We start from the raw sequence: 26,519 nt of genomic DNA on the forward strand, positions 1-26,519 counted from the left end.
CTCCGCCTCTCGGGTTCACACCATTCTCCTGCCTCAGTCTCCGGAGTAGCTGGGACTACAGGCGCCCGCCACCACGCCCGGCTAATTTTTTGTATTTTTAGTAGAGACGGGGTTTCACCGTGTTAGCCAGGATAGTCTCCATCTCCTGACCTCGTGATCCGCCTGCCTCCGCCTCCCAAAGTGCTGAGATTACAGGCGTGAGCCACCGCGCCCGGCCGAAAACTTTATTCTTTAATTTATGCAATCTCTGTTTCCCTATCAGAACTACTAACATTTTTACATAGCCATATCTTTGAAACTAGAGGTGAATCTTCATTAATGTAGCCCTGTTAGTACAGAGCTCTGTGGACTTTCTTCACTCCTTCAAAAATTTTTATAAAATCATATTTTAAATTTTTATGTGGTTACATATTTTAAATCTACATGTGTGCTTTTTCAATAATATGAACTCACTAACAATAGGTACTAGAAGACCATGTTGACTGTGCTGGCTTAATTAACAAATTTCAAAAATGTTTACATAAGAGCTGTAATGCCAAATCTTAAAAAGAAAATGATAGTCAATACATAATTGAATTTTAACATTTGTATAGCCTACTCAGTCTTAGGATGCAAACACCCATCTTCTGCTATTTTTTCTATCAGCATTTATTTATCTTTTTAACAGTAAGATGAACTCTTAAATAAATAATTGTAATTAATAGGATTTTTAGGCAGCATTTTTAAATAAAAAGGTGTTAAAATTGTACATTCGGAACAATAAGAAATAGCTAAAGCAGCTCATGTTAAACAGAAACATTAGCTCTCAAGGGCAAAAGAGGTTTTTTTTTTAAGGATTCATAGTCCTAGAGATGGAGAACACAAACAAAACAAGAAAATCCGGTCTCATTTTCTCAGCAAGATAAGTTCTACCTGGTGCTCAGAGACTCTCTTTTATCTGGCTTCCTTGCATGTCTTTCTTCTTCTCCAATTTGTTTGATCACCCTTTCAAATAGTTTTTCTCATCCTAACAGGGATAATGCAACCAACTTTTCTGAAGCTCAAACTCCTGCTCTGAAATAAGAATAAAAGAAAACATGTATACACATTTCTTTCTTTCTCTTTTTGTGCATGTGGATTAAAAGAACAGAAGGCTTATAGTGTGGGAGATATTTTCCCCTATCATCATTTGCCACATGAGGTCTGCTAGATGGCTTCCAGGATGAGCGTGGCACCCACTGGCCCTGACACAATGCAGTCATCCTTCTTCTGCAGCACACTCCTCCTAAGTCCCATGAAACTGCCAAGCACCTACTGTCAGGGGCAGATGCTCCTAAGGTTAGAAAACATAAGGCTAAAGTATAAACTGGCTCGTCCTGTCTTCCTTAGAGGAAGTGCATTTCTTATTTATTTTATTTTCAGAAACAGAACAGATCCAGTGAATACATAATAAGCAATCTAGTCGGTAAGTATAAGGGCACATGAAGTCCAATTTTAAAGATAAAGTCACCAATTGATTTCATTGCAACATCTGTAGAAATGATTCCCAATTATTACCTTGTGTTTCTACATAGTTTTAAATATTCACAGACAGATGATTTTTATTATTCCAATGGTAAGTGTTTTCTATTGTCACATTTTTAAGGGAGAAAACACACACACAGAGAATGGGAAATATCAGCAGCATAATATGGCCTTTTATAATAAATCTGTTCACGTATTATCAGCTTCAAACTTTAAATCTTTTTCATTATCTGTGGACATAGGAAAGTGTGACTTTAAAAACCCTTCCTATTTTAATGACTCATAAGAAAACAGGAACATAAGCACTCCACTGATATTAAAAACAAAAAGGAATAAAAAACATTGAAGAAGCCTTTTGTACTACTGCAAACAAAAGCTTTCTGTGAAGTGAAAAACAACAGAAATGTACCTGATAAAAACCATCATCATAAGCATACGGCTCCCACTCCTCTTGAGGATATGGTAACTGCCAGCGCAAAAACTTCATCCAGCAAACCTAAAAACAATTTACCTTAACCTCTAGCATGGTTAGTGATAAAAACTCTGAAATAAATATTGAAGACATTAATTAAACCATAGACACTAAACTAGTTGTGAAAATGATGTATAATTTAACACTTACATTAAAAATATAGCATAGGTACAATTTAATTTCCTCAATAACAAAAGTTTTCACATACATCTGACATTGCAGTACCAGTAAATCCTCCCAACCTACAAGCCACACCCACAGATCACATACACTTTTTATTTTAATAGACTAATTCAGATATATTACACAAATCCTCTATTTCATACAGATACCAATGCCAAGCTAAAAATACAAATAGTACTTGCATTTGAAGAGCACAGATGTCTTTAATGAATATTTTTGCCAGAAAACATGAAATTAAATCTGAACAGAAGCCTAAAATCATAAATATCAGCTGAATAACACAAACTGTACATTATCAAATTTTAGTATACTGAGCTTTTATTGTTATTTCTTCTCTTTTTTGCATTTTGGAAGCAGAGCTCTTACTGTGAATATTCATTCATTAAAAACTTTTCTGGACTATTATATGTCCTCTTTGAATCATGCCAGAAAATGCAGTTTTAATTCAGATTTCTTCTTATTCAGGCTCAAAGTAAATGTGATGTCTACAAATGTGATGGCCATGAGTGAGCCAGCCATCAGAACTAAATGCTGTTCCAGCAATATTCATTTATTCACCAAACTTTAAAAAAGCACCTACTGTATGCCAGGTTGCATGTCTATGCAGTCATGGCACAGAAATAAATGCACCACTCTTCAATCCTTAAGGAAACACAGACTAGTGGAGGCACTAGACATGTTAAGAGATAATTATAATATAGTAATGCTACTATAGAGAGGCACATGTTTGCAAAGATGACTCAAAGAAGGTGCAGCAAATCAGTGGAGGAGACAGTTAAACTGGGCATCAGTGCGTAATCAAAATATTACCAGACAAATAAAAGTGCCCTAGGCACAGGGATCAACAAATATAAAAGATGTGACACACTTGTACATCTTAAGAAACTGCCAGAAATGTGCTATGTCAGGGATGTAGCAGGAGAGGTGAGAAGATAGATATTTAGAAAAGCAGAAGTAGATAAGGTCCAGATCGTGGAGATTATAAAGAAAGCAAAGAATAATAAAGAAGTGTCCATGTTTTACAGGCACCAAAAGGAGTGGCAAAATCAGATGCAGAGAGGGGACATAATCAGATGATCTCATCGGCTTTTTAGAAAGATTTTTTAGAGGAGATATTTTTAGTAGAGAAGGACAAGGGAGCCATTTGGGAAATCATTGTGATAATGCATGTGCAAGATGTGCAATGTTTAAAGTAGGAAAGTTAGAGCTGATATCGAAGGTGGCAATGAATTCAAGACACACTGGCCTGATCTAAACTTAACCTTATTTATAAACCCAGGTCTTTAATTAAATAGAATAAGATTTTAGGATATGCTAATTCATAGAGTATCCTAAAAACTTTAGATGTATGACCTTGAGTAAAGTAAGGGTAAAACAAACAAAAACACTTCCTGATAATTCATATATTCAATATTTTAACTATAAAGTGATCTATTGTCTCATGAAGTTTGTGAAGGCTATAGTGCAAGCTAAAATTAGGAGAATAATATGTGCAGAAGGCTTATAGTGCAAGCTAAAATTAGGAGAGTAATGTAGTATTGATCCTACGGCAATTTTTATTAAGTTCCTTGAATAGTAATAACAGAATTATAAATAAAAATCTCTTGGGTACATGTAGTAAGATAACCTCGGTTTGGTAAACTCTCTTGTCAATTTGTTAGTAGTGAAGAGAAGAATACAATGCAGACATAAAAAATATTATTTTTGCAAGTCATTTAAAGTAATAATGATGATTAATCTGCATTTCGGAAAGTGTTAGTCTTTGAGCAAATGTTTTGATAAAGAGCAAAAAAGGTACTATAAATACTTAGCCTGTGTATTGTGTGAGAAATACATGTTGCATATCAATTTGAAAATCATCTTATATTTATAAGAATGTCAACCTTTGAAATGTTTATATTTTGGTAATTGTTTTAGTGGCTGAGCTGCTTGAAGTTTTTATATCTGCAGACATTTTTAAATCCTGTACTGTTATATTAAACAATTGCATTTTAATTTTTAAATAATTAATTAAAATATTCTTCTCCCATTTCTACTGCTACCATCACCACCATCAGCACCATCATGTTTCTCTTACAGTGGTAAGAATGCTGTTGATGTTTTGAGGTAGGCAGTTGAGTCTGATTAAAAGTACTAGAGGTGATCCTAAATTACCTTTTTTTGTTTGTTTGTTTTTTGGACAGTTTCATTCTTGTTGCTCAGGCTGGAGTGCAATGGCACATCTCAGCTCACTGCAACTTTTGCCTCCCAGGTTCAAGCGATTCTTCTGCCTCAGCCTCCCAAGTAGCTGGGATTACACGTTCCCACCACCATGCTCGGCTAATTTTTGTATTTTTAGTAGAGACGGGTTTTGTCATGTTGACCAGGCTGGTCTCCAACTCCTGACCTCAGGTGATCCACCCGCCTCGGCCTCCCAAAATGCTGGGATTACAGGCGTAAGCCACCATGCCTGGCAACAAAATTATCTCTTAAATGCAATTCATAAGGTCAAATTTTGAGCTTTTTCAATTAAATTAGCATGTAAGTGAATATTTCATAAGTTAGACAGCATATCCTTTACTTTAGTTAACATGCAGACTATATTACTAAATAATCACATGCATTTAGTTTTTAAAGAAATACATTTGGCAGTTTTCTGAAATAATATCAAGGCTTTGTGAAAGTTCTGGCATGTGTCCTCTACATACTTAATCTGTCCCAGTACACAAGAACTAATAATCAGCTTTCAATCTTCATACAGTTGTACAGAGTGGTCAATTTTTAGGTTTTTCTAATGTGACAAAATGGAGATTCCCATCCCCTTTATAGCAAGGTATAAATATAAGGGATATAAGATAAAATTTGTAGTTGGTGTCATGTGTCATCTACTGCAAATTACTAAAAAGCATTTGCCTCTAATGTGGAGACCTATGTAGTGAGACTCTTCTAATCAAAGCATCAGCTCATTCTCAGTACAATGATACCAGGATTGATTTTCACAAAGAACAAGTAAAAACTATGTTAATAAAATGAATATATTTACATTTTTGTAACTCAACCAGTCTTATTCTCGAAGAATAGTAATCTGTTTAAAGCGAATGTTTGTTTGCCCTTGGAGAAAGAGGAAAACAGTTTGTTATATCAGCATTTTCAAGATGGAAAGAGAGAGGAGGTTCTTTGTCTTGGGAAAAGGAGGAAAGTTTCCTGAGAAAGACTAGTGGAGCATAAGAGGGCTGCTGGGAATAGAACAAGACAAATTAAAGAGATTAGAATGGTTAGAATCAAATGGTAGCAGTAGTCACATGGAGCAACCCTCAAAAGTAGGAACCCTGAGGCTTTCTGCCTGCTCTTCTCTGCCCCTATATTTCTTACAAGGAAACATATTTGTTGGTTAAAGTTTCAGTTCTCATTCTACCTACTCTTAATACTTTAGGTTGCTTGTTGCCCATTTAATAAAGAACTTTCTGATTTTAAAGAAGGAAAGAACCAAAATGAATGGAGCCCAAGACACAAAATGACAATCTGAAGGGGAGCTGCTCAACTAGGAATATCTGTGATTGGTAATTACTTAGGCAAATAAAATAAAATTGTATTATGTTAGGTTTCTTATGCGATAGATTGTTATGGCAATTAGCCTACTTTGACAAAAACAGTGGTTAAAATTATATATATTTAAATTGTATGTATATAAATATATATTGTATATAATATATATCAGATGGAATATATAGATTTTTTAAAAACACAGTTAATCTTCTAATTAATAGCATTCATGTTGGCTTCCAATGAATCTGTTTACTTCCTACTGACCTAACATTGATGTTATCTTGTAGACTGCTAAAGTGAAAAAACGAATACTGCCCATCGTTGAAGCTTTTTATGTTAAGTCACAAAACTCAGGATTCTAGAAAAACACTAAAACAAAATGGTAATACCTTCAACTATTTTTTACCAAACATAGGGTTGGCGATGATGAAATAAACCATTTCAAAAATCTTGGAAAGCACGTGCCTTTATTTATTCTATTTTAATGCCTGATTGTAGAATACCAAGAGCTATTATATAATTTATCTGTATAAGTACTGCTTTACCTTTGCTTGTTTATTTTTTAAATTATTTTTGAGAATCATTTGAAGTGCACAAGGAGAAGTTGATGCCAAATACCAAAATTGCATAATTTTCAAAGCTAGAAAGTTGTCTTGCCTCCCAAAACCAGGGACTTGAAAAAACACTGTTGTATCCTTGAAGCACAGCTGCTGAATGATACATGGACATATTTGATGTATTCTTAGGCATTTGTTTGTTTCAGTTTTATATTGACTTTATAATCAAAGCAGTTTGACTTAAAAATTTAAAGTATACATGTAATTTAGCAAAACTGAGTTGTTGTATTTCATTTTTATAGAATCCATATTGCAGCACAAGTTGTAACAAAGTTTAAGAGAATCTGTTCATAAGCTTTACCACAGATCTGAGAAATAAATGTTGCAATTATTTTCTGTTGGGGTATGTAATATTGTTCACCCCCCTTGGGTTTATTCATTCCTGATTGCTGCTCAACTGTCATAAGTCTCTTGAAAGAGGAAATAGTGAGTTACTCCTTGTGAGCAATTACCAGTCACATCTGAGAAAGCAAATTTTAGAAATCAAACTCACTTGTAACGTATTTCTAACTTTGCATTAATGCAAATTTGTTTATACAAATAACACATCAATTATGTTGTTTTCCAAATCCATAGAATTACACTAAATCTTTTAAAACATCAAAGATGCACAAAGAAAAAGGAAATAGGAAATTGAAAGGGTATAATTTGTTTAAGAAAAATTCAATTGCTGAACCCCAAGGAGTATCCATACCCATAATTTATGTCTTATCTTTGATCCTCAATTTCTATCTGTAGGAATCTCATCATGGTAAAATTATATTTTTCTAACTTCAGAAAATGTTGCATTTTGCTTATGTATCTGTTTATTTATATTTTCAAAAATAATTTTAGCTTTACAAAATGAAAAAGCAGATATAAAAGGGATCAAAATACCTGAAAATACTACTGACAAGAGTGTAATGCAGGCATTGAGAAACATTTTATTTATATTTTGGCCAAGTGTTGAAAACGAAATCTGAGTAACTTTCGAAGCTGAGTGTGATAGGACGCAGAGAAGTGCTGAGTGTAATGGAAATGCTGGGGGTGGTCAGCAATGGGAAAGGAAGCCCCTGTCCTTGAGGCTGAGTCGGAGGACAATGCACTCTCTTACTTGTCCTGACTGCGCCACTAACAGGCTGAGTCATTGCTCACCAAGACACAGCTGCATTTTTTTGTACACTACCTCCACATACACACAGACGTACCCACACACCCACACAACTTTTTTTTTTTTTTTTTTAGATGGAATCTCACTCTGTCACTCAGGCTGGAGTGCAGTGGCTCGATCTTGGCTCACTGCAATCTCTACCTCCTGAGTTCAAGTGATTCTCCTGTCTCCGACTCCCGAGTAGCTGGGATTACAGGTGCCTGCCACGTGCCTGGCTAATTTTTGTATTTTTAGTAGAGACGGGCTTTTGCCATGCTAGCCAGGCTAGTCTGTAATTCCTGACCTTGGGTGATCCCCTCTCCACCTCCCAAAGTGCTGGGATTACAGGCGTGAGACACCACACCTGGCCTCACACAACTTTTTGCTACACATGTAATGCATCCACAGGGGCCATCTCTCCCTGAAAGAGAACACTTTTCAACTTTCAGAAATGGGGCATAATCATAAGAAGAGGCAGTGAGACTAGTTAAGTGATGCTAGAACAATTCCCGTTTTAAAAGTCTAGGATTGGCACGTGCACAGTGTGAGGGTGATGGGCTGTGCAGCCAAAATGTGAAGAGCGCTGAAATTGTTTACTAGATACGGGTTCTAGTTTCAGTGCTACCACTCACTAGCCATTCTGGACATGAGCCTCTGCATCTACAACACAGAGATGCTGCCCTTTTACCAGGCACAAGGGTGGTTGTGCACCTAAAATGGGGTGATGTTATCACTTCATAATGTGGAAAGTACAAGAGACATGTGGACAGATTGTAATGGGTGTTACCATAGAAGAGGAAAGCATGGTGAACTTGGAAGGGTAAAAGTAGACTTTTCTTGGCAATGCAATATTTATACCAAGGTAATTTTTAAAAGGGGGTGAGGACTGAAAAAACAAAGCTTTTGCTTCATGCATCTCGCAAGCCTCATATTGCCAATTTTGTGACTGTGTCTAAAGAATTCTTGATGGTGAAAAAGGCTTAGGCTAAATGAGAAGGTCTTATAATTTTTAAGACTCAGCATCCATACATTAAATTTACATATTCAAGACAGAGAAAAAGGCAGAGCGAGAGAGAGAGAGAGAATAGCAGAGAACAACTTAAACCATACGTGAGACTTAGCCAACCGGAAAATATGGAAGGTTTGTTTTCAACAAGCCTTTTGTACTTTAATCCCTAAACCATTATCTCAAGATATCAATAACTCACACAATTTTATTTCATAATTCATACTTAAAGTAGAGATATTTTTAAACAACTCAACACCATTTTAAACACACCTACAATACTCTGCACCTAAAAACCATTGTTAATGAAGCTACTTTTTTTCTTCTAATTGACTGTTCAATTGGCCTCTTTGATTAGAACATAGTACAGCCAGGTTTAGCCATATTGTGGTTTTGATCCAATAGCTGCCTATCTAGAAAACATAAAACAAGGCAACTAGAATTTTAATTGGGTATATATTGACAAATTATGTTACATGAGAGAAGTTCTAAAGTTGCCATGGTAAGAAAAATACAGTTATGAGGAAAATAATGTTCCTCATAACTATATTGTTGTTCAACAGCAGTAACATTAAGCATGTGCCAGTATTATATTACTGTGCCTCTGAATCAGTCTGGTATAGACAGTCATTTACCATTCCTCATTATCTGTTCTTACAAATTAAATGCCTAGAGGCCATGAAGCAGAAGAGCAGAAGAGAGTGGGACAAAGTCACAAATTTATAGTGACTCTCCTAACCTTTAAGTCAGTGTTTTATTAAAAGCTCTGTAGGATGTGCTTATAGAATATGCAAAAAGCATTTAGGATCTTTTTAAAGCAAAAAAGCATGCATATTTTCAAGGCATAAACAATATTCAAGCAACCCAACTTTAAATGAGAACATGCCCATGCATAACATAGCTACAGTAGTACATCATAAAAATAATTTATGTGACAACAAGTTATTTTATGTTTTAATTTTCCCCATTTAAATGCTGACTGTTTCCCTAAATCACAGCTGTTAGCACCAATTCTAAAGACCACTGTAAGCATGTTCACTGGCTTCGTTATCTTACATGAAAAATGTAAATTCCCACTGGTTTAGAAGATATTTTTGTAGGAATGAAATAGAAATTTGGTAACAGAACTACTAAGTAAGTTACCCAAGCATGGCCATGTGCCTGAGATTGCTCATTCTTAACCTTATCCCACATTCATGATCACTTCTCAGTAGACTACTCTAAATCCCAACCACCAAAATTGTGTTTCAAACACCTCCATAGACACCAAATCATAAATAAGTACATAAGTAAGTAAATTGTAAGCACCAAGCCTTGATGATATCTAAGTTTCTTCATTGTCTTTGGTCATATATTACTTATAATTCCTACAGAAGACTCTGAAATATTATAGGCACTTTGCTCAAGTCTCCCATGTAAGTGGATCAACATAGTTTATCAGTCATGGTTCTTGGTTCTGATATGGTTCTTTTGTGCAGAGATTTCCACATCACTGATTCAACCATCAAAAGAGTTTGGAATTTCAAATATTCCGGTCCTTCATAAAAAAGAGATAAGCCGTGTTCCACAGAAAGTTTGTTTTTGAGAAATCGTTATCTGCCACTCTCTCAAATAAAGATATCACGATTTAATTTTTATAAGGGCCATGAATACAGGATTTAAATAAATTCATAAACTGTTCTCAATCTATATGCTATTAATCCAAGAAAGTTAGCCTATGCAAAAAAACAAAAACAAAAAATCTGAAATAGGAGGGTGTTTTGTTGGTTATTCATTTTTTTTAAAATTTTAGTTTCATATTTGCTTGTTTTTTAACAAATAATTAGAATGTGATTTTTTCTTGTCCACAGACTGACAGGATGAAGCTAGCACAGACATTCTCTCTACATAATAGTATACATATCAATTTCAAGCAAATAAACAAACCAATGATTCCCTCAAGTATCAAATCTACCTTGAAGGATAACAGTCATGCAGGGATCAGGGCATCTGAATATATAGATGTCTATTCAATGATCTTCTCTTCTATGAAATAGTCTGAAAGAAGAGAAGGAAAAGTGGACTATTCTTTAGTATGGTCTGAAAGAAGAGAAGGAAAAGTGGACTATTCTTTAGTATCTTCAGACATTTATTTTAGACTTAAAGGCATACTTTTAATTTTTGTTAAGTGCATATAGAGCACTTCAGAGTATTATCTGGATACAAGAGGGAATTAAAGTGGTGAATATTAACCACAATACAGAAAAATTTTGTTATAGAACTTTTTAAACATAATGTATCAAACTATGAAGGTGATTACAAATTCAACATTAAATCACTAACATATCAAGAATATATAGAGCATATTCTCTTTTGTGTCATTTCCACAGCTCCTTAGAATTAGAAAAAAAGCCTAATAGAATACATATTAAAATAATACAATAAGTTAGATAAAAAGGTGATTTATGTTTACTCTGCTACCATGGAGAGAATTATCTTTGCCCTAGACCTTTAAATTAGTCTCATTTTAGAAATTTCTGGATGCTAGTATTATCAACTTAATTTCATAATTTCTAATTCTCTGTTTAAAAGTAGTCATTCCTCTGTATTGTCTATAACACCACTTTGTTAATCTGTCACAACTACTTCTGAACATTTTTATTATGATGTAGGCATTTTTCCCCTACTTACTAAATTAGAAGTAGTCCATGGCAGGGGCCACATGGTATTTCATTTTTGTACACTTGGCACTAAGCCTATTGCTTAGCCTGAAGCAACAGTTTGATAGGTGTTTACTGAACAAAACAGACCTCTTTCCTCATCTTATTCTCTCTAAATTGATGACTAGATGTAATTACCCCAAATTGCTGATAACTGAAAAATACAATGGGTTTAGGGAATAAAGACTGGACAGAAATGGGAAAACATCTATTTCTAGACATTACATATAAATATTTATTTTTAAATTATATTAGAAATTAAATATTCAAAGTGTGTCCTTTATGTTTATTTGTAATGACAGTTTTTATTCTTACCCAAACTTTTGTAGGCTGGCTTTCTTCTTTCTTTCCTGAAGTTTGGATGAAGAAAGAAAATGTGTTTGTTACCCATAGGAAAAAGCTAATGCTTCTAAAAATATTAAATATTTGTATTAAAATACCTTAAATTCAAATTTGCAAAATATGCAGCATTTCTTAATGATGCTAATCCATATGTATGTGGATATGTTTGAGAAATATATATACATATTTATATCTCCATGGATATGTATAAGAATTTGCTTCTATTGCAATGAAGGCAGAATCTCAACATGCAAAGCCTCAGCTTACAGTAAATTCTAAAACAAGATTTCCCAACTATAAACAAAACCTAAGTTTTTCATGTCTTCGTATATACTGACAAAAATTGTTTTCCAAAAGCAAAGGCATATAAATAATTTCTGTTGTATCTCAAAATGCTAATACTTTCAATAGAATATTTCATGAAGTATTTATAGAGCACTGCTGCAGACTCCAGTGAATTGTAAATCATGATACACTTCAGTACAAGACTCAAAAATAAGCTCCATGATTTTAGAAACACATCTACTAGATCACCTTTAGATTTCTCTGCCTAGGATTTGTCACTTGTTTGTGTACACATGTACAGGAATAAATACACACCAAAGATCTTGTGGTTCATGTTAAACTTTTTCCAATATGTCCTGTTTAAAATATACTATAGTATTTTGCAACTATTAAACTACTATGACAATGTAATAAAGAGCTAAGATAACTAGGTTCACTAAAAAAAATGAACTTATTATTTTTCTCTCCAGATCATCCTTGCAAATTTTTAAATGATTTGTGCTATACTTCCTTGCTAGGGGCTGAAGACACATGTGGAACTGGTTCTGACATGTTCCTGGAGAAAGCAGAAGTTCAAAAAGAATCGGGAAGAAAGAGCTAAAAGAAGGGAGAAGAAAATATATAAATACACAGAAACTAAAAAGAGAGAGCTTATTGTGACCTTTCCCATAGGAGCTCATAGCAGTTGGCTGCATGCATTTATGAAGTCAGGAAAAGGGAATCAAAGATCTATGTGCGTGTGAAGGTTCAGTGAAGGAAGCCCTTGCTGAGTAAGGTCAAGTAAAATTTACTTAGTTCCTAGGTATGTTGACTTGTAGATGAGTATCTGAATGAGTGAGTCAAATAGACAGTAAATTTTCTGAACACAATTTCCACCCTCCTTTATATCAATTTACTGTATAATAAACCCTGCTGTAAAATACTGAGAATCTGGTTTGTTTTCACTTTTTAAAATATATCTGACATGTAGGTAGTTTAACATTAATATAAATGTGTTTTGACTTTACACATAAACTGTTACCTATTATTGAAAGTAATATTGTGAAGTTATCTAAATATTATTTAATTTAGGAATCATTCATGTGTCAGTTTTCAAAGATAATGTATTTTTCACATATTAAGAAAACAACTATGAGAAATGAGAAACTTGCAACAATAATCTTTAATAAGTCTGGTGCAGTGAATTAACAATATCTGGGAAATAAACCTTGGGAAACATTTCTGCTGGATAAATAGGCTGAACTTTACTTATCACAGGGTGGTGGTTCAGAGCAGTCTCAAGACTGTGATCTTTAGAAAATTGTGCAAGCACTTTTTTACTCTTTCCTCTGTTAAAGAAAAACTTCACTTGAATTAAATTTAAAGGAGTTTAATTGAGCAATGAACGATTTGCAAATTTGGCAGCCCCCAGAATCACAGCAAATTCAGAGAGACCAGCACAGCCACGTGATGGAAGAAGATTTATAGACGAAAAACAAGAAGTGACATACAGAAATCAGAAGTGACACACAGAAACAACTGACTTGGTTACAGCTCAGCGTTTGCCTTATTTAAACACCATTTGAACACTCGACAACGTATGAGTGGTTGAAGTATGGCTGCAGGGATTGGCCAAGACCCAGCCACTGTTACAGGCACACACTCCCAATTAGGTTCTCAGTCTTGTCTACCTATTACGTTAGGTTGTAGTTCATCCATAAGGATTCAAATATACAAGTACTGAGTCCTCAGGCCATATTTAGTTTGCGTTAACACCTCATACAGGCAACGATATTATTTGACCCATATGTGTGTTGTGAACATGGTATTAATATATAACAATTTATATTGCTATAATGTCTTTTGATTCAACCAACTAAAGTGATGATGCTTTAGTATTTTTTGATGGGATAATAGAAGTCTACTCCAATGTTTTCTTTTTTCTTTCTGCATATTTAGATTAATGACAGGAAAAGAAGGAGAAACAAATACAAATTTAATGCTGTGACTAAATATATCAAATATTTAATATATGCAAATATTTATATAGAGTTATTATGGAGGATGAAGAGTGAAGTGTTTTTGGAACAAAAAAGGAAAAATAATTACTTGACAGATGTAGAGCTGAAAATTGTTGCAAGAAGAGAAACGATTACAGGAGAAAGCATAATATATGAAAACAGCAGGGAAATTGTCTTAGATGGAATAAAAATGTTTATATGAGTAAATATTTTAAATCACCACAATTCTTGTTATAGAACTTAAAAATATATCAACCTAGAATCAAAATACCTCTGTCAGAAGCACTCTTAACTATAATCCAATCCAATCTCATAAAATTTAATTAGCAAGCAACAAGTTAAAAATTGGACCAACATATACTAATGAAAAAATATTGAAAGTCTTTTAAATGAAAACTTGTGCTATTCAGTCTCATGTGGAAAATTAGGCACTGACATTGAAAAAATAGCTTTATACAATAAAATTCAGTGAGTCTGTTGCCTTTAGAAGTGATGGCAAAACATTTATAGTTACTGAAATCTGAATCAAATCTAGATAGTAATTAAGAAATTTCACAGTGTTCTTTTTTAAAAGAATACTTCAAGATTAAAAATGTAACTAGAACTACAGATATGTCAACATCATAGAGTCCGATAATATTAATTAAAACTATACCCACTTCATTGCATTCAGTTAACCACTGAAGGATTTGTGGTTCTAACAGGACCTACAAAAGCTGACGTGATTATAAAGAGGTCTTCAGTATATCACCTCATTATTTTTTTAAATTTCATATGCTACTGATAAGACTTCCATTACGGAACATTTATTAAGCAAATTCATCAATATTGGCAAATACTAAAGTGATATGACTCATTGATAGATGCAGAGAAGTATTATTTGAAACTGGAGTTATCTTTTTAAATCTAGGATATATAGTACCCACATTTGTTGAAAGCATCTACATGCAGGTATTGCTATGAAATAAAATATTATTCTATTATAAAGTCATAAGGAACTTAAATATAAAATTACATGTTTAATATATATGATTGAGCTGCATAAAAGTATGCTTCTACTCAAAATAGCTATATAATTAATGTAGAAATATTGCTTTAATTAAATGTTCTGATTTTATTGAGGTAACGACATGCCATCCTGTTTCTCTTCACTGTTTAGCACAAAACTTTTGCTGCATATTACATTATTTTTGTTGACCAGGAAAAATAATTTTTCCTTTGATTAAAAATTAAATTTTTTTAAATTCCCTGGAGTATGCTTCTATTATATATAATGTATATCCCATGAAATTATATTACTTGTTTTATGATATTTATTAGACAGAACATTTAACCAGTTGTTTTTCAAAAAGAGATAGCAATGACTTAGTTTATCATATTTTGTAAATAATAATGACCGTACATAACTTCTGTCCCTTGCTGTCAAATACAGTCTTGTCTTCAAAGGAAATGACATTGCCTAAAATCTATCGTAAAATAAATCCCATTAAACTTTTAAAAAACAATAAGCAGGGCAGGGCACAGTGGATCACACCTGTAATCCCAGCACTTTGGGAGGCCGAGGTGGATCACCCGAGGTCAGGAGTTCAAGACTAGCATGGTCAACATGGTGAAACTCCATCTCCACTAAAAATACAAAAATTAGCGGGGTGTGGTGGTGGGTGCCTGTAATCCCAGCTACTTGGGAGGCTGAGGCAGGGGAATCTCTTGAACCCGGGACACAGAGGTTACAGTGAGCCGAGATTGTGCCATTGCGTGCCAGCCTGGGCAACAAAAGCAAAACTTCATCTCTAAATAAATAAATAAATAAATAAATAAATAAATAAAATAAACAAATCTTTATATAATGGGTAATGCGTACACAACTCTATCACTCACACCATTCTGGCTCATTTCCCATTTCCCAAGGCACTTCAGTTCAGGGTGGATTTGCATGTATGTCAAACAATTCTTTGAAGAAGACATCTGCCACACTCTTCATCATTTCCTCCAATTTTCAAGAGTCCTAATAGAGATACCCATTTTCTATAATATTATGCAATGCTATCTCATTAACTGAAATATCTAGTTGATGTGTGATAATTCATTCAAAGAGAGAGATTAAAATAGCATCTATTTATATGTTAATTTTAAAAGTGACATGCAGAGCCCTGTGATTAGAACATGCACATAGCCTATTGAGCATATTGCTATTTTCAATTTTTCTCACACATGAAGATGAAGAGCTGCCCTCTTTAGCTCCCTTTTACTATGGTTATGCAAATGAGTTGTCTCTATAATCTTATTAATGAGGAGCATCCTCATCATTAAGAATAATTTTTAAGAAAAAACAGCATCTGCTTGTATATCATCACATTGACCTTCTTTTGTGAAGATATTGACAGGCTTTACTAGAAACTTCTCTTACCACAAAGTCACCCTTAGAATTAGATTTAGAATTAGATTGCTAGAAAAGGAGAGATTGAATAATTTGAAGTTAATGGAGGACGAATCTAAAGGTGAAATATTTTCCCAAGTCACCAAAGAAGACAAGCTATACAGGGAGCAGCATTAGAGAAGCGCTTTTCAAATCTCTGCTCCTTTGTCATGTTTGATATCAACCCCTTGTCCAAAATGCTAAAACAAACCACATGGCCAAGTCAAGATTCAATTTAGGAAGGGAATACCCAAGGTAATGGTCAGAGGAATGCATGAGTAAATTTGGTTCATTACATCATAATCAACCACAGGGGTTTAAGAATTTTACTTTTTAATACAGGTCCTTAGTAGTAGCAAAACAAAGACTATAAAGACATTACATTAATTACTGTAGTGGCAAAAATAATTCTTTGTATATATAGCACAAAGTTTTCTATGTTTATTCAATAAATTATCAAACCAGCTATGAAAATGGTAGGCACATTAAATAGTATACTGATATATATGACACCATGGCATAATCAATTTATATTATGATTATGCAAAATAAAAACTCCAGACATATGATCTCTAAATGTAATTTTGAAAACAGAGTTGGATCAGAATTCACTAGCTTGTTTCCTGAATTCTAGTCCTAGTCCTTAACCATTATGCCTTGGGGTAGTGGCCTCTATGGAACAGTGAAAATGAAATTAAGATTCCCTACTGATATATATCCTAGAAAGAGAAGTCAAGAAATGAAACAGCTTCCTTCACTTCAGAAGACCCATCGATTTTTTTTAAAAAATTCTTATTGTTTCAGGAGAGAATCTTGGATTTTAATTCTCCTTATTCTCTTTTAATCTTTTAGCAGTTTAAGATTCACATGGCAAGTACTTCCCCAATAAACAATCTATGTGTTTTGAAATCGTCTTTATTCTTCAGATAGTGAAAAGAAGACTCCTAAGAGGCTTATTTGTCAATTGGACTGGATGTTAAAACTCAGAAAAAAGTAGACACTGAACTATTCACTGCACTGTAATATATGACCAACTCAGTCATCTATGGAAAAAATAAATTTAGCTCCATTCAAATATTAAATCCTAATAATATTGGGCAAGATATGGAATATTAAAAGACTTAATTTTGGCTTCCATCATTATTAATGCAAAACCAAACCAATAAAACATAAATTTGGTTTTAAAAGATATTATTTTGATTACCACATCAAATCTGCATGTATATATTTCCAGAGTTTTTGTGATGCAATGCGGGGAAGGAGAGAGAGAAAGAAAGAGAGAGAGACTCTTCTAACCAACACTCATGATCATGGAGAGGTGAACATAAAAATCCCTTCAGAAGATTGCAGTTGTTCTAGGTGTAATAATATCTTGAAACATGCACATATCATGTAACTCACTTGTATAGCTTTCTGGCACACAAATATTTGATGTTAAGAGATCACTTTCATTTGTATTGTTTTAGAACAATCGTAACGATTAAAAACTTTTATCTTTAGTCCTTTATTTTGTAGCTTTTGCTTTTGACTAATTCATATTAAAAAAATAATAAAGACAAAAGTCATGTAGTGATAATGTTTACTTACTTCTTCTGTGGATGATTAACAAATTAAAATTCATGGATTTATATAATATTTGGTGGGGAAAAGGAGATTAATATTATAGTAAACCCTTAAATGTGTTTAAAATCTATGACCATTACTTTTGATCCACATACATACCAAAGTTTCTTTAATCCTTTTTCTTTTAATTGAAATAAAAGAAAAAAATCCTGAGTTTTCAAAACTAGATTACTCTTCTATGTTTCTTTAGCAGCTATAGTATTAATATTTAATGAAGTTAGAGTTCTTACCTTATTAACAAAAATGTTAATTTTGTTACTAAACTTATAGATGAAATACCAATTAAGAGTCAATAGTTGAAGATGTGAAGTAATAGATTTAATCTCCACATAACAAAACAAATAAGTACTGAGTGCAAATTTTAGAACTCATGACAGCACAACAGCAAAATGATCACATTATTAAATAAGCAAAGATGCAAATATAATAAATACTTTTCTAAACACATATCAGCAATCTTAAGGTAAATTGGGATATGACTGTAGTAAATACATAATTAATCATCCTTATGTAACAAATCCACAGAATGGCAGATACACTAAATAAGTCAGGTTAAGAATTTTTTAGTGATTCATAGAACTTATGGTATAATGTGGCACAACTAGGGTAACTAGTCAACTCTCAATCTGATGTTTAAATCATAAAATGCTGGTTTATAAAACAATAATAAAAAATATCTAAAGATATATACTATTCTCCAAGTCATAGTCAAGATGCAAATGTAAGTCAATATAGTTTAATATGTCATCTCCTTTTTATGTTTTAGACAAGCAATTATTCAAGTATCTATTTGACATTTAGAACATTACTAGGTATTGGAAGCCTATAGAGTTTTTTACTTAAGAAAATTTATCTTTAAACTTCATTTGTCTTTTTTTGTTTTTCATTTTAAAAATTAGCTTTAACTGTGCTATTTACCTACCCAGATTCAGTCTGAGACAGATGTTTTCAACAGTGCTTTGTGCCTTATTTACTTTATTCAGTAGAGAATTCACAGGTAATTATTTTGTGTAATAATTAATATTCTCCTCCATGAGCTTTTGTGTCTTCTCCTTTTCTCAGAATTTATCTTCACCCAGATTAAATAGAAGTCATTTCTTGCTTTGTATGTTATTATGACATATTCCAGAAGTTCGTCAAATTAGAATAGTAGATTTGTCATACTCGAAACTGTGGCAGCTGCAGTGAGGTAAACCATGGCTAATATAACATATTAGAGGTATTTTAACATTCTTTAGGAGGATATATGGATGGTGTTATGACATTAATTTTAATATTATTAAAATTTTAATTATTATTTTAATTTAATATATATCATTTTTAAAATTTTCTATTTTTTTATTGACTCTTGGGAACTTGCTGCCCCTTATTCCCTAGTTAATGCACACAAACAACACATGTACAAATTTATGGCAAGGAACCAAAAGCATAAGCAACTCAAGCCAATCACCCTTATTTTCACATTGTGTGCTTCTATCCTATGGGCATTTATGACTATGTGGAGTTGGAACTTATGTTGGTGATTTTTATGAAGCATACACAGAACTTAGTATTACTTGCAAACAGCCAGATAATTCCCTGTTGCCATATCTGTATTCAAGTAATAAGTCTTTCATGTCGTTGCACACAGACCTTCTTGACTTCCAGAAAATCTCATCTGAACAAACTTGCAAGTTATTGAAACAGGGGCTTCATAATCATACAATTAACAATTATACATCTATAAATTCCTCAAGTAAGAGAAAACACCCTCATAGTAGGATCAGAGAACGACAAGAAGACAAAGCACCAGTGCAAATCCATTGCCAAAACGCTGAGTTAAAGACACTCAAAACTGGGGTATTTACCAAACATGATATGGAAAAACAAATACGTTTCTGACCTGTTATATTTTGAAAGTCATTTCATTGAAAGGGAAATTATTAATGAGGAGTTAATACGGCCTCCTGCTAGAATTAATAGGAGACTACCATCACAGCTACATCTAAGAAGGCATTGATTGTTAACTTGTTGTCTCATGCATATGTCCACGCCAGCTCCAGAATCATTGCATTTTTATGGGAATTTCAAAAAATTTTCAAAAAAAATTTCTACCATTTCCCAATGGTAGAATGCCTCCAATAATGAGCACAGATATGCAAACATATTTTTATTATCATCAAATGCTGAAGACCCAGGAGTGCTTCTTGGGGTGCTGAAGGACTGCAAAAATGATCACTGGATTATTTAAATGATACCAGTTCAGCAAAATCTCTTCAAAGCTGCTATATTTATGGTGTGTGTGTATTCATCTATGTTTCTGTCTGATATATTATTTTCTTCTCAATCTAAGCCAGGCAATCTTATCTCATTATGAGTAGTTCTGGTCAGAAAGCATCCCTGGAAATTTTATTCAGTAATGCATTTTCCCTACATAGGAAATGTTTTGTCAACTAAATTCCTAAAGCAGCATAGAAAGGGAAAATTATATTATCACCAACTCCTTTTAATTCTCTCTTCATAATGTGTTAAACTGAAAAGGCTTCTCAACTCCAGATTATGGGAGTTGAGAAGATGATAAATTATGGTAGTTATTCTTGAGAAATAATATCAGAAATAACATCACAAGGTGCACTTTAATGACTTCAGAAATCAGCCTCCAAATTTTATAGGCATCATTTGCAGTATACAGCAACAAGTTACATCACACTAAGACTCTGAGGTAAGAGAGATCATGAAAATCGTCAGTGTTTTACATAGAGACAGTCATCAGCCTTGCTGGCATGGAGAAAACCAACAGGACCTGGAAAGGACAAAATCTGCTTCACGGTGCAGGAATCAAGGTAACAAATAACCTTGCTGCTTGGACAGTAATTTCACATTCTTTTCTACAGCATAGATACATTAATATATCCCTGCCAATGCTTTCAAAACTCTACCATCTTAATCATATGTTTGGATTATCGTCAGAAAAAAAAACAATTAATAGATTGAAATCAAAAGTTTAAAAAGCCAAAGAAATCAGGAGTTTTAGTTTTTTAACCATTATCACATTAAAAAGCTCTTGTGTAAAGTAGCAAAACTTCACTCTGTTATCAGATAAAAGTGGCCAGTCATTTCGTTCAGACCTGAATGGGTGTCAGGTGTGAGGGTTCTACATAAACGAGGCCCTTTACCTCCCATTCCCGTTCCCTCTCACATCCCATTACCAGACCATTTTGTGCTCCAGTCATAGCAAAAAAGTTTCTGTTCCTGAACTACTTCTCATTATTTCCTGCACAATTGCTTGCATTCATTCTTTCATGTATCCAGAGCATATTAAAAGCTCACTTAGGCAAAGAAAAGTGCTATGTGCTAGGACGAAAGTGATAGAGCCAGAAATGGATCGAACTTCATTGAGCCTGAAACCTATTTCAAATGTTTCGATGTATCTGCAAATCTTTTTTTCTCCTTCTGAAATATCTTCCTGTCTTCTTTTCTGCCTGATAATCTCATCTGCATATCTTAAGATGCAGGCCAGGATTATCTCTTCTTTGAAGACTTTTTATATCATCCTTTAAAAAAATTAAATTTCTCTCTACGTATTCTTATTAACTTTTGCACAGGCCTCTTTTGTAGTTTTCCACCTATTACAGAGAAAATATTTGTCTATGTTCAGACTCTATCTGCACCAGACTACAACCTCTCAAAAACAAGAACTGTGGCTTATTCATCATGTGCTTTGCAAACAGTTGATGTTGAGGTCAATTTTTTTAATGAATAACTCAAAGAATAAATAAATGAATGAATTGGAAACATAGAGCCTATTAAACCTATTTCCTAGTGAATGTCCAGCATTCAATCTGAACTTGAACACACATCATTATTAGAAGACTATTTAATGATCTTGATGTGGGCAGAGCATTTCTATGGAATTTAAACAGTGGAAAAGTCACACAAAAATAAATCTGATCCAATGAAAACTGTATTAGTTATCTGTTGCTGTGTAACAAATCACCACCAGCAGCTTAATACAACTTCCATTTATTATCTCAGTTTTTACTGGTTAGGAGTCCAGGCATAAAGCAGCTCCTCAGTTCAGAGTCTAACAAGGCTGCAATAGAGTTGTCATGTTGGCTGTGTTCTGGAGCTCGTGGTGCTCTTCCCAGACCACACAGTTGCTACCTGAATTCAGTTCCAGTTGATTGTAGGACATAAGTTCCCATTTTCTTGCTGGGTATTAGCTAGATTTTACTCGCAGCTCCCACATGCCAGTAGTAATTCCTTCCCAAGTGTTCCTCTAAGAGGCTCTCTTACAACACGGCAGCTTACTTCAAAGCGACAGGGAAGCTCCCACTCCAGTTTGCTAAGGGGAAGTATTATATAATGCAATATACTTCCACCACCTTTGTCATATTCTATTAGGAGAGAATTTTATAACAGCATGATTCAGCAAAGTTCACTTTAAGGTATGCCACCGTAAAACTTTTAAATTAAATTTTAAAAGTAGAAATCATCACAAATAAAAGAACATAATGATTGGAGAAAATACCAATATGGGCTGGGCGCAGTGGCTCACCCTTGTAGTCCCAGCACTTTGGGAGGCCGAGGTGGGTGGATCACCTGAGGTCAGGAGTTTGAAACCAGCCTGGCCAACATGGCAAAACCCCATCTCTACTAAAAATACAATAATTAGCCGGGCATGGTCGTGGGTGCCTGTAATTCCAGCTACTCGGGAGGCTGAGGCAGGAGAATCGCTTTAAACCAGGAGGCAGAGAAGGTTGCAGTGAACTGAGATCACACCATTGCACTCCAGCCTGGGTGAGACTCTGCCTAAAAAAAAAACAAAAGCAAACAAACACAAAAAAAAACAAACCCAATATGATGTATGATGATACTCAAAATATCCGACTTCAACTCATTACCAATTCATTAACAAAATAATGACAAGTAAATCAATCACTCTATCTTCCGAATTGGAAAATTTTATTTAATTTTAATCCTAATGTAGTACTCAGTACTTTTGAGAGGAGAATAACAAGATGGGCACTTCCATATACCATTTGTAGAAGTGCTTGCCTTATAGAAAACAGAGGCAAAAAAAAATCAGGCTTTATTTATCTTCTCCATTGCCCCATCAGAGCTATCACTGCAATGTAGGAAAACCATGTGGAAATTCTTTAGGGCTGTAAATTGGTGTTACAGTCTGTTAAGCTTTTGAACATTCTGCAAGGCTATTTTAACTGGTAATTATCAAAAGGGAGCTTTCTATCTCCAAGAAATGGAAAGCAAATGCCTTTCCTGAATTTGTAAGTGTGACAGAATCTGGGCTCTGCGTTTGCCAGCTGCAGTGAGCTACAGGGAAATATTGTAGTTCAAGATGTAGGGCCTTGGAACACTCAAGTCACCTTGAATTAGGACCTGATGGCTACACCCCAGAGTAAGGGAGACTCAGAAATAGATCTCATCCAACAATCACTAAGTCTTGAAGATTCCATTTGCTATGTACTTCTTGAAACCTTCCATTATTTCTTGCACACTACCAGATTTTCATGACCTCATTTCTGGATTACTACAGCCACCACTTGTTAGTCTTCTTGTCTCCAATTTTATTCATTTCCAGAATGCCAGCAGAATAACCTTTGGGTGTCCTCCCCAACTGATCTCACCATCTGAATTCTTCATGTGCCTGTAATAATTTAGTCCTATGAATAATTCTCCAGTTCACCTTCCACCATTCTCCTTCCTTCCTTCTCTTCCTTTCCTATCTTCTGACTTCTTCATTTATTATTCTTGGAACAGAAGATGCTTTTTTGCCACCAGGCTTTTGACATGCTCAGCCATCTACATGGCATTGTCTATTCTCTCCACCCTTTACCTCGATATTTCTTGTTCTTCCTTCTCATCTAGCTTTGACATGCTTTTCTCATGACTGCCATGAAGTCTCTCCTAACCATCCATGAATGTACCAGACTATATGTATCTATCATAATTTCCTCAATATATTATTAATGTCCCTTGTTGTAGGCTGTCCTGAGGGCTCTGTGCAAAAAAACTTTGTGTTTTCATTGACTTCATTTCTCCAACCCAATGTTTAGCACTTAGCATATTTAAATAAATATACAGTAAATGAATAAAGGATCTAAATATTTAGATGCCATGCTTTATATCTTAGCATTTCAAGGGCCAACCTATAATTGTTCATAAAATAAGTGATTCCAGATCTCAGAATGTAGAATAGATGTCCCCTCTCAAGCAGCTCACTGGCTAGTTAGGTTGACAGTTTAAAGTGGGCACTAAAACTTCTAGAGCATCCCCACCTAGAAAGCTGGGAAGAAAAAGGAAAACCTGGGGCATATCTCAGCTATGATTTTACAGCTCATTCCATCACAGATGGCTTGGGAAGGCACACCCCAATGTGCTCCCGCTTATATTTCCTTTCATCCATAAAAATCATCATCCTACCTTTATGGCTATCTCCCCAGGGGAGGTCCTGTAAGGATTCATGCACTCATTTTTGCAAACTATATATTGGTATTTTTTGAATGGAGATACTCTATGAACACAAAATGTTTTTTGGCATTAGTCCATATGCCCTATCACAGCCCAACCTATTTGATTCTGTGCTACCAAACAGCTGCCGGCACCCACCAAGAGCATCTGGTTCTATTTCCTGTTGGCAAGGGCTCCATTAGCAGTAAAACAGCTAATGCCTTTTAGATGGCCTCATGATTACAGCTTTTATTGGTATCCTAGGTAATTGAGTTAATAAATTTAATTGCAAGTCCTGATACTTCCTCCCACCTGCCTCTACTCCTTTCCTAGCTCCTCTTTGTCGCCTCTCAAAAAAAATAAAAATAAAAAGCAAAAAAACCATTAATAAGAATATGCATCTAATAGGACAGGTGACTTCACAAAACACTTCTGAATGACTTCAAAATGTCACTGGGCCCACCCCAGTTTGTTTATAGCAGCATGCAGTACCATGACTCACATTTACTACCCTCTTCCTTTCAAGCTAATTTATAAAACTGTCCACACTACATCGAGCAATACCCAGAGTATATAGTGTATTGCCACAAAGATTTCCAAGGCAATATTTATAGTTGCATGGGAGAATATGGGTACAGGTTTCTGGATCTCTCAACTAATAATTCACATACTACATTGTAAATCACGATGAAATATTACATATTACACAATAAAACAACAACAGAGAAGAGACAATTGAAAACTGAAATCTTCTCTTGAGAAACATTTTTAAGATCTTGCTGAAAGACTAACAGATCCTGGATTGCAAAATGTATTTCTCTCAGGAAGACAGTCTCCTGGATGGCTCTGGGTATTTTTTTGTTGTTATTACTCTTAGACGTTTGCCAGGTTTACCACTGGCTAATGTTATACGCCCAAATGGCTCTTTGTGTCCCTAAATTAAGTATTTTACCCCCTTATAAAAAATGCATTACCCTCATGTCTGCCTAATTAAGAGAGGTTGATGGAGACATTAGAGATTCAGATGTTCAGTGTCACACTGTAATATATGCCACCAAACATATTATTCAAATTGCTTTCATGCCTAACTCCAGCTCAATGACCCTTTAAATCCCTTCTAATGATCATCAGGCTCTTGGATCCTGTCTTTCTGCTCTGTGTAGTTTAATTCTCAGCATTCAAAATACAAATTCAAATCAGAGGTGGATATGATATCCAAGAGAGCATAAGTAGTTATTTCCACATATTAAGCACTTCACAAATATCATATTTAATCCTCACATCCCGTAAGGCAGGAGTTGTCAACCAGGGGAAATTTTACCCCTGAGGGTATATTTGGCAATGTCTAGAAACATGTTTGTTTGTCATAACTAGAGAGGAACTACTGGCATCCAGTGGGGCGAGGCTAGGGATGCTGCCAAAACCTTATAAACTACAGAATAGCCCTTATGATAAAGAATTATCCAGCCCAAAATGTCAATAGTGGTTAAGAAACCCTACTACAAGGTATTGTCTTCATTTAATAGAAGAGGAAACACAGGCTGAGAAGTGATGAAGAGCTCGCCAAGCTTTGCTCAGATTATAAAGGGCAGAGCATAAATTCAAATCTAGATTTTCCTAACTTCGTAGTTCAATCTCTTTCCACAGGGCAATGTAGCTTCGTAGAGCTTTGGGAAACCAGTAAGGAAACACGGAAGTTAAAGCCAGTATTTCTTTAACTGCTAAACACCCCAAACCACATTATGTCAAGAGAACAGTTTTTGTAATCGTCATCCAATACGAAAATAACATTACTGTAATCATTGCAGAAGTCCGCCGCAATCTGCCACATAGGTTGATGTGTGATGCTTCTGGCTACAAATTTCCACTTGAGGATGCCATAGTGGCCCGTCTACAAAATGCAGATGTGTCAACAGAAGGCCTAATTGATGGATAGAAATGACTCTGCAATGGAAATTTAGTGTTGTTAAAATGGCAAAAAAAGAATGTGATACACCAGGGTATAGGCTGAAAGCATAGTAAAAGATGCTAAGCCATAGCAAGAGCCAGAGGATGTCGTGGGAACGATTCCAAGGAACCTGTTACAGGTTTCACATAGAGAATTCTGGAGATGACCGATTTTGTTTGTATCATCAAGGCTTCCCCGTAAATTCACATTTTATGTTTATATATATGTTTTTATTTCTTAATACTTTTTGCCATACTTAGGAAAAAGAGAATCCATCACAAAATCTAACTTAGGATGTGAAAATTAATAAATTCATTGTTT

At 34.5% G+C, this 26,519-nt stretch overlaps 1 long non-coding RNA gene across 3 annotated transcripts in view, besides 1 other annotated feature; it reads right to left on the reverse strand.

Moving 5' to 3' along the window:
- Window positions 1–26,519, reverse strand: part of LOC105379102 (uncharacterized) — a 328,753-nt gene that overhangs the window by 125,665 nt on the left and 176,569 nt on the right. The gene's annotated exons all lie outside the window — the stretch shown is intronic.
- Window positions 7,626–8,126: an enhancer, noted in NCBI's record as "H3K27ac hESC enhancer chr5:100994577-100995077 (GRCh37/hg19 assembly coordinates)". NCBI's record gives its function as "activates a minimal SCP1, AML or CMV promoter by ChIP-STARR-seq in naive H9 embryonic stem cells {active_cell/tissue: H9 hESC(naive)}" and the evidence as "EXISTENCE:reporter gene assay evidence [ECO:0000049][PMID:30033119]".

The sequence above is a fragment of the Homo sapiens genome, chromosome 5, assembly GCF_000001405.40.
Source record: "Homo sapiens chromosome 5, GRCh38.p14 Primary Assembly".
NCBI lineage: Eukaryota > Metazoa > Chordata > Mammalia > Primates > Hominidae > Homo > Homo sapiens.